The following is a 15,534-nucleotide window of genomic DNA, read 5'->3' on the forward strand; positions in this document are numbered from 1 at the left end:
TAGAGACAGGAGTTGGCATTGGCTGGGGCTGAATTAGATCCAGAAGGTGGACAAACTGTATGAAAAAGAGATAGAAGAAGAGACCATAGTTTTGTTAAGGCAATGGTGATACCAAAGTCAGAATCAGGGTGGCAAACCTATTTTGGGGAGAAAAGTGATGAGATCTCATTTGGATCTTTTGGACGTGAGGCAGATTTAGAATAGAAATCTCTAGTATTGTTTAGTGATATAAACCAGAGCTTACTGGAGAGGTTAAGACCAGAAAGAGATCTATGAATCATTTGAATAGAGATGACTTAAGGTTGTCAGAATAAAATCACTTTCTTTTTTCTTTTTATAAATGTTTAGATTTATAAAATATAAAATTTGAAAAAATTTAAGTCTTTTGATTCATAAACACAGAATGTCTTGTCTTTATTTTTATTTTTATTTTTTTTTGAGACAGGGTCTTCGTCTGTTGCCCACGCAGGAGTGCAGTGACACAATCTGTGCGCACTGCAACCTCCGCCTCCCGGGTTCAAGTGATTCTCATGCCTCAGCCTCCCAAGTAGCTGGGATTACAGGCATGTGCCACCACGCCCAGCTAATTTTTATGTTTTTAGTAGATACAGGGTTTTTGCCATGTTGGCAGGCTGGTCTCAAACTCCTGGCCTGAAGTGATCACCTGCCTTGGCCTCCTAAAGTGCTGGGATTATAGGTGTGAGCCACTGTGCCTGGTCAAAAGCACTTTCTAAGAAGAAATTAAAGTAGAACTGAGGGTTGAAAATTGATCTTTGGGAAATGACCAGATTGGGAGAATGAGGGATGATGGATGTGACTGCATAAATTTACCTTTGAAGAACTTAGAAACTATTCTGTCTGGGCTGGGTACGCTGGCGCATGCCTGTAATTCCAGCACTTGTGAGGCTGAGGCAGGTGGATGGCTTGAGCTCAGGAGTTTGAGACCAGCCTGGACAACATGGTGAAACCTGTTTCTACAAAAAATAGAAAAATTAGCTGGGTGTGATGGCAGGTGCCTGTAGTCCCAGCTGCTGGGGGTGAGGGGTGGGGGATGGTGGCTGAGGTGGGAGAATTGCTTGAGCCCAGGAGGTCGAGCCTGTGGTGAGCCCAGATCGAGCTACTGCACTCCAGCCTGAGTAACAGAGCAAGACCCTGTCTCAAAAAAAAAGAAGAAAAAGAAAAGAAAAGAAAAGAAAATGGTATGTCAGGGACCAAAAACGTCTAAGAGGAGGGGGTGATTCAGACTGCCAACTGCCAGACCTTTGGGAGAGTGACTTGGCCAGAAGGTATCTGTCCCAGCATGGGTTCTCCAGGAAGCCAATGTTAAGACACTGTTAGGAATACAAAAGTGTTACCTGTGGGGTGGGAGAGAGGAAATGAAATTGGGAAAAGGAACTGTCAAACCATCATATGGATTTGGCAAAACCAGGAGCTCTGAAGCAAAGATTGCCCCTTATGGGACTCCCACATTGAGGAAAAGTGATCCTACCACCCCGCTCTGTCACTGGGACCCTGAAAGTAGCTGGAGGCTATCAGCTTAACACAGTCCTTGTAGCTGGGTAGCAGTTACCTACTTGAGGGGGCATCTGAGTGGTGCATCTCTGTGTCTACCTCAGAATCCATTTAGAAAAGCAATTTCAAGAGATTGATAGGGATAGAAGTCATATTTTAGGGACCATGCGGGGTCAGGTTGGTGAGAAGGTGGGGCAGCCGAGGGAAACCTCACATTTGTGATTTTTTTTCATTCTTTTATTTTTAATTTTATTTTATATATTTTTGATTTCTGTATATTTTAATGACTTCAGATTTGTGATCTTTCTTAAATTAAAAAATTTTTCTTTTTGAGACAGGGTCTTACACTGTCACCCAGGCTGGAGTGCAGTGGTGCTGTTATGGCTCACTGCAACCTTGAACTCCTAGGCTCAAGTGGTCCTCCCACCTCAGCCTGCTGAGCAGTTGGGATTGCAGGTGTGCGCCACCATGCCTTGCTAATTTTTATATTTTTCATAGAGACAGGGTCTTGTTATGTTGCCCGGGCTGGTCCCAAACTCCTGACCTCAAGTGATCCTCCTGCCTCAGCCTCCCAGTGTTGAGATTATGGGCATGAGCCACTGCGTCCAGCCAGATTTGTGGTCTTTGTCACCACTTTGAATGCACACTGTGACTTCACATTTTCTCTTGGAGATGAGTGTACTAAATTAAACTTCTAAGGAGGTGATAGTCAAGGAGCTCAGAGCCCCCTCTTCTGTTATAGAGCCTTCTCTCACACCTGCTTGTTAATTCTTATTGTGTCCTTTTCTCAGAAGTCTGTACTTGAATTTTAAGAAACTGGACTTCTCTACTAGATCTCAGGCCAGACGAGTTGTGCTTGGCTAGTTCTGGTGGTGTTAAGAACTAATGGAGGCATTGTTTTTCACTCTGAAAGTGATCTGAACTAGAGATTCCAATTAAAAATTCTTCTAGAAACATGGTAGTATAGTAAAATAAATGCAAAGACCCAGATCTAGATGAAGATGGTAAAGTAGCAAAATGAAATTTAAAAAAAGAAAAAAATTCTTGGAAATTCTTAAATGGGACTAATTTAGCAAACATTTGTTGAACAGCTCTCTCATTAGGTACTTCATTAGGTTTTGGTATTCACAGATGGCTAAAATACGTATTGCACAGATGGCTAAAATACAGACTCTCTCTTTAAGGAACTTACAGAGTAGTGAGAAAGATAAAGAAGCTTGCTGGAGTTAAATCTCCTCACAAATCATTTACCTTCTTAAAAGACATTTGTGCAATATTTCACTGGGGGGCTGGACTCTCAGGAGGCTGTCCCAAATTGGGGGACTTTGTTGTCCATTAGGGTGACTTTCTTTTTTTTTTTTTTTGAGATGGAGTCTCGCTCTGTGCCGAGGCTGGAGTGCAGTAGCACCATCTCGGCCTGCCACAACCTCCATAGGGTGGCTTTTTAAAGAGGTATGGGAAAGCATGCTTTGTGGGTGGCTCAGAGGAGTTAATTTTATCAACTTTATAGTTCTACAATGATCTTTTCATTTTCTAATTTTACTGGTGCTTTCTAGCAGGAGCCTTGTTTCACCTAGTCCTGATACTGCAGCAAAATACCACAGACTAGGTAATTTATAAATAATATAAATTTATTTATCACAGTTCTGGATACTGGAAAGTCCAAGATCAAGATGCTAGCAGATTGAGTGTCTGGTGATGGCTTGCTGTCTGCTCCCAAGATGGTTCCTTGTTGCTGTATCCTCACATGGCAGAAGGGCAAAAGAGACTAGGGAACTCTCTCCCTTCAACCTCTTTTATAAGGTCATTGATCCCATTTGCGAGAGTTCCGCTCTCTTGACTTAATCACCACCTAAAGGCCTCACCTCTTTTTTTTTTGAGACGGAGTCTTGTCTTGCTCTGTCACCCAGGCTGGAGTACAGTGGTGTGATTTCTGCTCACTGCAATCTCTGACTCCCTGGTTCAAGCAATTCTCCTGCCTCAGCTTCCCGAGTAGCTGGGACTACAGGCACACACCACCACGCCCGGCTAATTTTTGTATTTTTAGTAGAGATGGGGTTTCACCATGTTGGCCAGGATGGCCTCGATCTCCTGATCTCGTGATCTACCTTCCTTGGCCTCCTCCCAAAGTGCTGGGATTACAGGCGTGAGCCATTGCTCCCGGCGAGGCCTCACCTCTTAATACTGACACATTGGAGATTAAGTTTCAACATATGAATTTTGGGGGACACATTCAGACCATAGCAAGCCCTCCACCCTACTTAATTTTTTAATTTTCTATTTAAAATATATAAAATATTAAAAGATAAAAGCTTCATTTTCTGATTGAAAGGTAATACATAGAATACTCAAACAATGTATTAAAGTACAGAGTCCAAAGTAAAACATTCAAATTCTACCACCAAAGGCAGGTTGTAATTAACTTTTCAGTGAATATCTTTCTTATATATCTCTCTTTCTCCCTTCCCCCATCATGTACACACATGCATATACACATATGTAAATACACAGACATATATGTCCTTTTGTATAAATAGGGTCATATTCTGTATCCTTTCGTATCCTCTTTTATTTTCTTATTTATTTATTTATTTATTTATTTATTTTTGTGAGACAGGTTCTCGCTCAGTTGCCAGAGCTGGAGTACAGCGGCACCATCACGACTCACTGCAGCCTCAACCTCCTGGGCTCATTTGATTCTCCTACCTTAGCCTCCCTAGTAGCTGGGACCACAGGCTCACAGCTAATTTTTGTATTTTTTGTAGAGATAGGGTCTTACTTTGTTGCCCAGGCTGGTCTTGAACTCCTGGGCTCAAGTGATCCTCCTCCCTTGGCCTCCCTCAGTGCTGGGATTACAGGTGAGAGCCACTGTGCCTGGCCTGTAGTCTCTTCTTAAGCATTGTGTTAGGGTCATCTTTCTGTATAAATGCATATAGATACAGACACCATCCTTTATAATGACTGTGAACTCTTTCATTGTGTTGATGCATCATGCTTTATTTAACCATTTCCTATTCACAGGTATTTGAGATGTTTTAAATGTTTTTAACCCAGGATACTGCTATACATTGTACAATGCGTAGGTTACCTGCCCTGTCCCCCAAACAAATAATTATTCAGCCAAAAATGTCAGTAGTACTGAAGTTGAGAAAAACCTGCTCTGTACCTTCTGCAGTGTTGGATATTGGTAGTCTTTACTCCCTTATATCTCCTCAAACACCAGGTATTACTTAGGCAAAAAGTAGTAGCTCTTTTAATGTGCATTCTTTTGATTACTAGCAAGATTAAGCATCTTTTCCTATATTTTATTTGCCTATTTTTGAAGTAAAAGGTGAGGTTTAATCTTTAGTTACATGATACTGCAAGCTACGCAATTCCGTGTAGAAATAAGGAACCCATTCAGAGGACAAGGTTCATACAGTATGTACAATTTGGAACTGCTCAAATATAGTTTCCTTGTAAAAAAGTATCACAATAACCATATTTAAAGGCATTCTTAGTAGAGAAACAGTAAGAAAAGTTATACCAAATATAATACACAACAAACAACATTATGCCTTAGCCATACAATCCAAAAGTTAAAGGTCCCAGGAGTTCCACCTGAACTTGAAAGGTATCCTCTATTTATTAGTGATTAGTTTCTTTTGTGAATTTTCTATTCGTGTCCACAAGAATGATTTGAATATTGGAGCTATTTGCCTTTTTTGTTTTTTTATGGTTTCTTTCTTTTTAAAAGAAAATATAAGCATTTTTCTGTGGTCAAATTTACCAGTATTTTCTGTTTAGTTTCTGAAGAGGGGTAAGTTGGTAAGTTATCCAAAATAACTTTAAAAAGGTGGTTCAGTTAGAGTGTAATCCAGTGCCATCCATGCTGTATGACATCAGTGGCATATATTCTGTGGACAGCATTCCAACAGATGACTTTGAGTTACTTTTCCTTAATCTGTCTGTAAGTGTTCTGCTCTTACTGAATCTTCGCTTAGCCCTATGCTAGTCACTGAAGGATGCAGAAGGAAAATATTTATTTCCTCCCTTCAATAAGGGAGGATATTTGATAAGTTAGATATTTGAGATACCATTAGTATCTGAAACAGAACATAGTTAAATGCTGAATAGGAGTTCATGGGGCAGGGTGGTAATCCATAAAGATTTCCTAGAGTTTATGAATGACCCAATCTTGAAGGATGTGACTAGGCAGAAGAGAAATGTTTCCAGCACAGGGCATCACTGTGGGACAGAGAGCTAAGAGATTTGAGTTCTAGTCCCTACTTTGTTGCTAATTATTGTGTGACTTAGGCCAAGTCTCAGGCCACAGTCTTTTTATCTGTGAAGTGAGGAGATAGAAATAGTATATTTTCTAAGATTATTGTTAATATTAAAGTATCACGGCTTTAGTGTTAAGAGAATTTTTAGAAAGAATTCACTTAGCAGTTATTGAAAGTCTTCTGGATTCTGGGCAGCATGCCAGGTGCCATGGGCATGCAATGTTGTATAAGATATGGGCCTTTCAGAAATGTACAGTCTTACAGGAGAGAGAAATCATGTGTGGTAGTTAGCACAAGAGGTACTGCTTGGGAAACAGAGTGAAGAAAGATCATCTTGGTTTGGGTGGTGAAGGCTTCAGAAAGAGATGCCATTTTTGTTAGGCAGGAAAGGAGGTAGGGGTAAATTGAGCAAGGGCCCAGGGGAGAAAGGGATGTGGTACAAGTTGCCTGGGATGCAGTTAGTAAGCTTATTTGGCTGGATTTATATGGTTGGTGCAGAGGGTGGGAAGAAATAAGGAAGGTGAAGTGGGCTGGCCTGTGGAGTGACTTAAATATACAACTCACATATTTCCTTAGCTTTTACTTCTGTAGTCTTCTGATGATTTTTAGGCAGGGGGATAACGTGATGTTAGTGGTACTTGAAGATTTGGTGTAAGTGTCTAGGATGGTAACTGATTGTACTTAGGGATTGAGAGCAATGTGAACAATGACTTTGAGATTTTTGAGGCTGGTTAGATTAAAGGTAAGAGGAAACAAGCAAGACTTAAGCAGTGACAAGCAGGATGAAAAGATGTTTGGAAGGGGAAAATGAGTCCATGCGGGAATGGGCAGGACTTAGAGTAGACAATGCTTTTAAGGCAGGGCATAGCTGTGGTAGGAAATTGGTCATGCTGGTCCATTGTTAGGAAGAATTTTCTGGTAATTTGCCATTGGCTTGAAATTTTATAAATCAGACAGGAATTTTAATGTTTTAAAAAAAGATTGCCCATTATGAGTTATAAGTCTATAATTGTGTCAGTTCAGATAAGTCTTTTGGAATAGAAATCTGCCCCCACTCCGCTTTTTTTTCAGTGTTGAATCTTGCCCATTACGCACATCCTGTAAAGGGAAACAGTGTGTTACTGGGTGGCACGTTTTAAATAACTTTTTAGAATCTCTACGTCTTTGGAGAAAGGAGGGTGAACACTACTTACTCGTGTTAAAACACTGTTCACCATCCTTGATTTCATTTTCATGATGGCTGGAGTAAAATGCTCAAAAGGGGTAAATGGCAAGCAAACCACTGAACAGGAACAGACCACACGAGCAGGGCTCATGCAGTTAATTAGTCATCTTGTCAGCAGAGGCCCTGCAGAGGCAACTGCAGACAGCTATGAGGGAACTGGAGAGATGAGTTTCTGGCATGGATATGGATCTGTTATTGTGGTAACAATAGTTTATTCTTCAGATCAGCAGAATGAGAGCAAAGCTGCTTAGCAATTATGTGGGTGCTGAAAGAATGGCCTTTGGAGGAACAGGCATTTGAAGCGGGATAAATTCAGCTTTTTCAAGAAACTTGCAAACACCCTGATTAGAATGATTTGGGGCAGTCCTTTTACAAATCAAGAACTTGTAGTCCTCTTTCTGATTCTTTTGTCTTAATCTGCTTTTCAGCTTCCTCATCTGGAGAAGGGGTTAGTGCCTCTTAGTGCAGATTCCCCCAGAGGGATAGGGTGCTGGGAGATGAGGGCTCCCAGAGAGAGAACGGTCCCAGACTTCTAGGTATGTGGACTTCCTTGCCACTGGCACTAACTTGGCTCTGCTGAATAGTGCCTGTCATCTCTGTTGGGCCCTGTGGAGCTGATGGGGTGGGGCTGGGGTAGCACCAGCACATCACTAAAATTTAGAAACAACTCACGGGCGTGTCCATCTTTGTATTGGCAGGGCTATCTGTTTTTCCAGAAACAGAGGGAAGGTAGCAAAGCATGGAAAGGACACCAGAGTGGGAGGCTTGGGTCTAATCCCAGTTTTGCTACACGTAAAACTCTGTGATTTGGGACACATCTCCTAATCTCTGACTCAGCCTCTTCGTCTGTAAAATAGCAATAATATCTATTCTCCCTGTGGAGAGGCTAAAACAAATTAATAGATGGTATGAGTCTACTTGAAAAAGCATAAATTGCTGTATAAGTTTATGGAGGAGCTTTTACTTCTTTTTACTAGTTTATATTCCGGCCATCAAAAATTTTATTTCTTGTATATTTTATTTTTATAAAAAGAAAACCTTGGTAAGGTGTAGTCGTTCACGCCTCTAATCCCAGCACGCAGGCCAAGGTGGGTGGATCACTTGAGGTCAGGAGTTTGAGACCAGTCTGGCCAACATGGTGAAACTCTGTCTCTACTAAAAATATAAAAATTAGCTGGGTGTGGTGGCAGGTGCCTGTAATTCCGCTACTTGGGAGGCTGAGGTGGAAAGATTGCTTGAACTTAGGAGGCAGACGTTGCTGAGATCATGCCATTGCACTCCAGCCTGGGTGACAGAGTGAGACTCTGCCTCAAAACAAAAAACAAACAAACAAAAAACCTTGTTGAGACTGGGCATGGTGGCTCATGTGTATAATCCTGGCACTTTGGGAGGCTGAGGTGGGAGGATCACTTGAGCCCAGGAGTTTGAGACCCGCCTGGGCACACATAGTGAGACCCCATCTCTATTTTTAAAAAATACAAATAAATCTTAAAAAAGAAAAAAATACTTGAGATACTGTCTAAGCTTTAAAGAAAGGTTGCTGATAAAAAGTTTTAAAGATAGTACACAATTTTTTCCTCTTTTAGAAATACTGTTTCATTGTTGCTTTATTCAGTTGGTTGTTTTATATATACATATATATTATAATTAATTAATTAATTTTTGAGATGGGACCCCCTCTGTCACCAAGGTTGGAGTGCAGTGGCATGATCATGGCTCAATGCAGCCTCGACCTCCCTAGGCTTAGGTGATCCTCCCACCTCAGCCTCCCATCTCAGCCTCCCAGGTAGCTGGGACTACAGGCATGTGCCACCACATCCAGCTAGCTTTTGTACTTTCTATAGAGATGGGGTTTTGCCATGTTGTCCAGGTTGGTATTGAACTTCTGGGCTCTAGCTATCCTCTTGTTTCAGCCCCCCAGAGTGCTAGGATTATTGGCATAAGCCACCATGCCCAGCCTGTTGTTATATTTTTTGAAGAAGACTTCCCTTTTATAGACCTTACTAACAGTGAAAAAGCTGTCACAAAGCTGGACTTCTTATCTAAATTATGAAATGAGTTTGGGTTGATAGTTAAGGGTTTTACAAACAAGTCCAACTCTCATTTGACAGTGAGGATGCAGAGACATTGGAGCGCAGGTCTCTTCCAGGTGCCTTGTATACTGTGCTGCCTTCCTCACAGTTTGCCTAAGTAAAGATGGTTAAGAAAATTATCACTGAATTTAGCCATCCCTGTGTTTAACAAGAGTGCTGTTTAATTGTCGAAGGCTGAAATCTTGAGTTCAAATCTATATCTTCTGCAGTGGGATCACTTAATCAAACTAAGCATCTATATGTACAAAGAGCATTGTTGACTTTAGACAACTGAAGACATAATGTTTCTTATTACTGGAGAGTGCTGGACCAGAGATTACAAAACCCGAGTTCTAGTCTCAGTTCTTCTCAGTAACTTTAGTCAAGAAAAACAAATTTAATATCTGTGAGTCTGTAGTCACCATTTATAAGATGAGGATGACAATATGACATCCAAGGCCCCTGCCAGGGCTTTAGTTAGAGGATCTGTGAAACCCTAAGGTAGAGAACAGGGTGGGTATGGGAGAGATGGTGTTTTTTGTTTCCTGAAGGCTTTGGATTAATCAGCTACTTTTATCATGTTATTCCCCTATCTGGAAATTTTTGTATTTGCCTCTATTCCTATCCTAAAGCTATCCTTACCTATCCTGTAAGCCATAAGTTACATTTTACTTCCTCTGTGAAGTCACTGTAACACATACTATTTCTCCTTTTCTGAACTCATTTATTGCCCTTACAGCTCACTCATCCATTAGTCATGGTACATTGCTGTGGAATATGTCTTCCTTTTACACCTCATTTCTAGTCAGCAGGTTAATGTAGAAGAAAAAGTATAGGCTATGAAGATAAATAGATTGATCTATGTGATCTTAGGCTGGCCACTTAAAATATATATATATATATATATATTTAATTTTAAAAATATGTACTACATTTTTGAGTAGGTTAATTTTTTTTAAAAAAACTTAATACAAAGAAGAGCTACAGTGAAGTCTTTTTCTAACCTTGGTCTCATCAAACTTGTCTTCCTTTCACAGTTACTAGTTTCTTATATATCCCTCCAGAATTTCTTTTCTTCCTCCCTTTTCTTTTTTATACAAAAGATGGCATACATATTCTTAGGTACCTTGTTTTTTTCACTTAATTTATGTTGGAGATCTTTTCATATCCGTACATAGCAAGCTTTCTCATGGTTTTTATGTTTTATGGATATACCTTAATTTAACCAGTAGTTGGGAATTGTTAACTTGGGTAAAGTTCCAAATGATTTTAAAATTTGAATGACATTTGAACCTGATCTGAGAAGTGTGCATTTCTTTAATACTTGTATTTCCATAGCATTTTACAGTTATTAAGCTCTTTATATTCTTGAAATTGATCTTTAGTATATAGGATTTACTAGGCTAATATAAATTAAATATCTTTTTAAAATTTTGCTGATTGTGGTGCAGGATTCTCCAATAAAAGCTCCACCGTACTCTTTTCATGTGCTTTACTGGCAAACACAGGGTTTGCTTGAGAAACACAGCCTGCTTTGTAGTCTTCATTACTGCATTTATAACCATTTGTGAATTTACTTCCTTAACTTACTTCCTTAAAACCAGTAGAGCATGTAGAAAAGGATCTCCACATAAATGAAGCTTTGAGAAACAAAACAAATTTAGAAAGAAGATATGCAAATTATTTTATAGATTAAAAATGTTTAATCTTAAAAAAACTCCTAACTGAAATATGTGTATGCAGAAAAAGGGACTCGCTTAATGCAAATGAAAGTATTTATTGAGATGAATGTGGCTCCTTAAGGTTAAATGTTTAGGGCTGAGAAAAATAAGGAACGTTTTTACCTGGGGTTCAACTAGGAAGATTCTCTGTTGAAGAAAATACAGCCTTAGCTATGTAATTTGACCTGTTCAGAAAGCACAAATGAAATGGAAGGGATTTAAGTTCTATCTTGAAATTTTCATTTAATGTAAAACAAGATTAATACTAAGGTAGCCCACACTGCTCATTTAACTACTGTACCTGGACTTTGAAGTGTGAACTTAGGTTATTGCAAGACCAGTAGCCCTTTATATGTATTTATGCTATGGAATGCAGGTTTTCTGTAAAATATTTTTAACCATGTTGGCGACTCCTATTTTTGCTATTTAATTTTTTCCTGAATCTAATCCAGGCCCTTGATTTCTTTCTCTTTTTATATTTATATTCTTTTATACTCATGCTGAAATTTAGCCTAGTCATAGAATTTTAGAAATGTTTAGATACTTAGAGATTCCTAATTAATATTTGGTATATTAATTTGGCCCTTTCTATTGAATAAATGAGAAAACTAAAGCCTGGAGAGGTTGTGACTTGCCCAGGTCAGCCTCCTTGTCCAGAACCCCTGGCTGCAGCCTCCCAATAATACCAGGTTCTTTCTCTGAACAGCTCTAATTGGCTGACTCTGCTCTACTTGGTGAAAAGTTTAATTTTGAACACATTCTCTTAGACTTCCCCCCCCACCCCACTTTTCTTTCTGATGTGGACAAATTAGTAAAAGACCACAGGAGTATTATATTCACAGATCTTGCATGGAGCCTGGCTCATAGTAGGCATGTAATAGAGACTAGTTCTAAGTGAACCAAACCTGGGAAGGAATGAGAAAGAATAACAGGTTACAAGTAGGGGCTTGCAGCTGAGCAGTCCTCACCCTGTTTTTGCTAGTTTATTTTCCATCTTTCTCTACCCAGGAGAGGGAGCAGCATGTTGTACTCATGGTGAAGGTGTCATGTGCTGGTTAGTGGGAGTCTTTAAACGATTTTCTTTTCCCTTGCAGGTCCTTTCCCATAACCTGTGCACGGTGCTGAAGGTTCCTCATGACCCAGTTGCCCTTGAAGAGCACTTCAGGGATGATGATGAGGGTCCAGTGTCCAACCAGGGCTACATGCCTTATTTAAACAGGTTCATTTTGGAAAAGGTATGATTCTAACCTTTTTTTGGGTGTAGCATTGTTTGGTTTGCATGTTTCAAGTGGGCCCAAAAGCCCCCTGTTGGTGAGTTCACTAAGGAGTTGAGGTACAAAGAATCACTAGATAAACCAGAAAGGAAGAAAGAATGAGAGACTGACAGTGCTTCCTATTCTTCCCTCTCCTCCACTGTCTTCTAAACTTGGTTTGATGTTTTTCCAACTTGGTTCATTCTTTGAAATTAAGAACTGTGTTTTGTGTTAATCTGTACCTATTCTCTCTCAGGGTGCTTTAAAAAAATCAAGTCTAATATCCAGAATTTACAAGGAACTTAAACAAATTTACAAGAAAAAACCCCATCAAAAAGTGGGCAAAGGATATGAACAGACACTTCTCAAAAGAAGACATTTACACGGCCAACAAACATGAAAAAGCTCAACATCACTGATCATCAGAGAAATACAAATCAAAACCACAATGAGATACCATCTCACGCCAGTCAGAATGGTGATTATTAGAAAGCCAGGAAACAATAGATGCTGGCGAGGCTGTGGAGAAACAGGAACGCTTTTACACTGTTGGTGGAAATGTAGATTAGTTCAACCATTGTGGAAGGCAGTGTGGCGATTCCTCAAGGATCTACAACCAGAAATACCATTTGACCCAGCAATTGCATTACTGGGTATATACCCAAAGGAATAGAAATCATTCTACTATAAAGATACATTCATGCCCAGGCAGGGTGGCTCACATCTGTAATCCCAGCACTTTGGGAGGCCGAGGCGGGCAGATCACCTGAGGTCAGGAGTTTGAGACCAACCTGACCAATATGATGAAACCCCATCTCTATTAAAAATACAAAAATTATTTTTAGTACGTGTGGTGGCATGCTCCTGTAATCCCAGCTACTCAGGAGGCTGAGACAGGAGAATTGCTTGAACCCGGGAGGTAGAGCTTGCAGTGAGTCGAGATCACGCCATTGCATTCCAGCCTGGGCATCAAGAGCGAAAATCCGTGTCAGAAAAAAAAAAAAATACGTGCACACGTATGTTTATTGCAGCACTATTTACAATAGCAAAGACATGGAACCAACCCAAATGCCCATCAATGATAGCCTGGATAAAGAAAATGTGGTACATATACGCCATGGAATACTATGCTGCCCTAAAAAAGAGTGAGATCATGTCCTTTGCAGGGACATGGATGAAGCTGGAAGCCATCATCCTCAGCAAACTAACACAGTAACAGAAAACCAGACACCACGTGTTCTCACTCCTAAGTGGGAGTTGAACAATGAGAACACATGAACACAGAGGGGGGAACAACAGACACCAGGATCTGTTGGGGGTTGGGGGATGAGGGGAGGGAACTTAGAGGATAGGTCAATAGGTGCAGCAAACCACCACAGCACACGTACACTTATGTAACAAACCTGCACGTGCTGCACAGGTATCCGTTTTTTTTTGTTGTTGTTGTTGTTTTTGTTTTTAGAAGAAAAAAAAATCTGGTTTCATATATACTGGCAATAGTTGTTTTTTTTGAGGGGTCTCATCCTGTCACCCAGGCTGGAGTTCAGTGGCACGATCTCAGCTCACTGTAGCCTCTGACCTCCTCGGGCTCAGGTGACCCTCCTACCTCAGATTCCCATTATTGGGACTGCAGACGTACACCACCACACCTGGCTCACTTTTGTATTTTTTTGTAGAGACGGGGCTTTGCCATGTTGCCCAGGCTGGGGCAATGGTTGTTAAAGTGTGGAAGTGGTGGAGTAATGTGTGAATATTAAAAGTGATGATTATCTTTACTGTATAGATATTATACAGCCAACTCTTATCCCAGACTTTTCAGGGTACCACTTAGATATTTCCTCTGGGATATGTTCTGAGTAAAGATGCTTTAAAAAACCTGTGAGGTGCTTGGAAGTCAAATATCACCTATTAGTGTTTGGGGCCATGTTCGGTTTTTCCCTTGGGTTGGATCATTACAAATTGACACACTAAAATTTTGAATTTGATGCAAGAAAAGATGGTACATTTAAATAATTTTTAAAATTGGTGATGAAAAAGTTACAAAAGGTAGTACATAAGCAGTTAATACAGAAATATGTGAAATAAAAAGTGAACGTTGCTTTAATTTTTTGTAGTCTGATTTTCCTGGAGTAACCAGTGTTAATAATTTAGAGAATATCTTTGTAGACTTTCAAAAATTACCTGAAAACATACACACACATGCACCCACACACACATACACATGTACACACACCCTCAAATCAATATATGCTATTTTGTTTCAACATGAATAGGATCATATTATACATACAGCTCTGCAACTTTTTAAAAAAAGGTTTTTTTATGTGACCAGTAGGATATAAGCAACTTATTTTTTTAATTGAACAATATATTAGTGTCATCTTTCCATATCATGTACATTTAGTTTAGATATGAAAGTAATCATTTATATCAAAAGTTTGTGAATTCCTCCTTTTGCCTATTTATAACACCGAGCATGAAATTTCTTTGTATACTTCTAAGTTTTAAATTCTTACTATTTTTATCATTTTTTGCTTAGACCGTTCTCCATAACAAGTATATTTCAATAATGCCTTTCAAAAAATGATAATGATAATACTTTCGAATTAAAAGTAAAATACTTGCAGCTGGGCATGGTGGCTTATATCTGTAATACCAGCATTTTGGGATGCTGAGGTGAGAGGATTGTTTGAGGTCAGGAGTTCAAGACTAGCCTGAACAACATAGTGAGACCTTGTCTCAAAAAATATATAAATAAAACATTAAAAAAATTTTAAAAACTCAATTTTTGCATCAAACCTAAATACACAACTATATGCATGTTTTTCTATGGCTTCAGATTTTTATTATTATTTATATGTATAATTTTTAAAATAGTTTAATGTCTTTTTACAATAGTAAAGTATAGTAATTAGCATTTATAATAATAATTTAATAGTTTGGAAAATGCCAAAATGTTAGTCAGGATTCTTTTTTTTTTTTGAGATTCTTTTTTTTTTCTTTTTTTTGCTCTTGTTTCCCCAGCAGGAGTGCAGTGCCGCAATCTCGGCTCACAGCAACCTCTGTCTCCCAGGCTCAAGCAATTCTCCTGGCTTAGCCTCCTGAGTAGCTGGGATTACAGGCACATACCACCACACCCAGCTATTTTTTGTATTTTTAGTAGAGACAGGGTTTCACCATGTTGACCAGATTGGTCTTGAACTCTTGACCTCAGGTGATCCTCCCACCTCGGCCTCCCAAAGTGCTGGGATTACAGGCATGAGCCACTGTGCCCAGCCAGGATTCTTTTTAGAAACCACGAGAAATATTTTTCAAGAATTTTGCAGCAAAGATTCTAAAAATTACAATGTTCATCTGTGTGATAATCTTTGTATCTATATCTTTTATTCCATATCAGCCTCACAATACAAGTTCCTGATCTTTCTTTGTGTGTATGCACGCCTATGTATATGTGTGTGTGTATTTCATGTGTTATACATGTTTTTT

At 39.5% G+C, this 15,534-nt stretch overlaps 1 protein-coding gene across 2 annotated transcripts in view; it reads left to right on the forward strand.

Moving 5' to 3' along the window:
• SWAP70 (switching B cell complex subunit SWAP70) overlaps nt 1-15,534 on the forward strand; it is an 88,917-nt gene that overhangs the window by 18,180 nt on the left and 55,203 nt on the right. For both annotated transcript variants that reach the window (NM_015055.4, NM_001297714.2), the window contains exon 2: nt 11,890-12,030. In NM_015055.4, the coding sequence (NP_055870.2) occupies nt 11,890-12,030 (141 nt within the window). The remainder of the gene's footprint in view (nt 1-11,889; nt 12,031-15,534) is intronic.

The sequence above is a fragment of the Homo sapiens genome, chromosome 11 (assembly GCF_000001405.40).
Source record: "Homo sapiens chromosome 11, GRCh38.p14 Primary Assembly".
NCBI classification, from domain to species: Eukaryota; Metazoa; Chordata; class Mammalia; order Primates; family Hominidae; genus Homo; species Homo sapiens.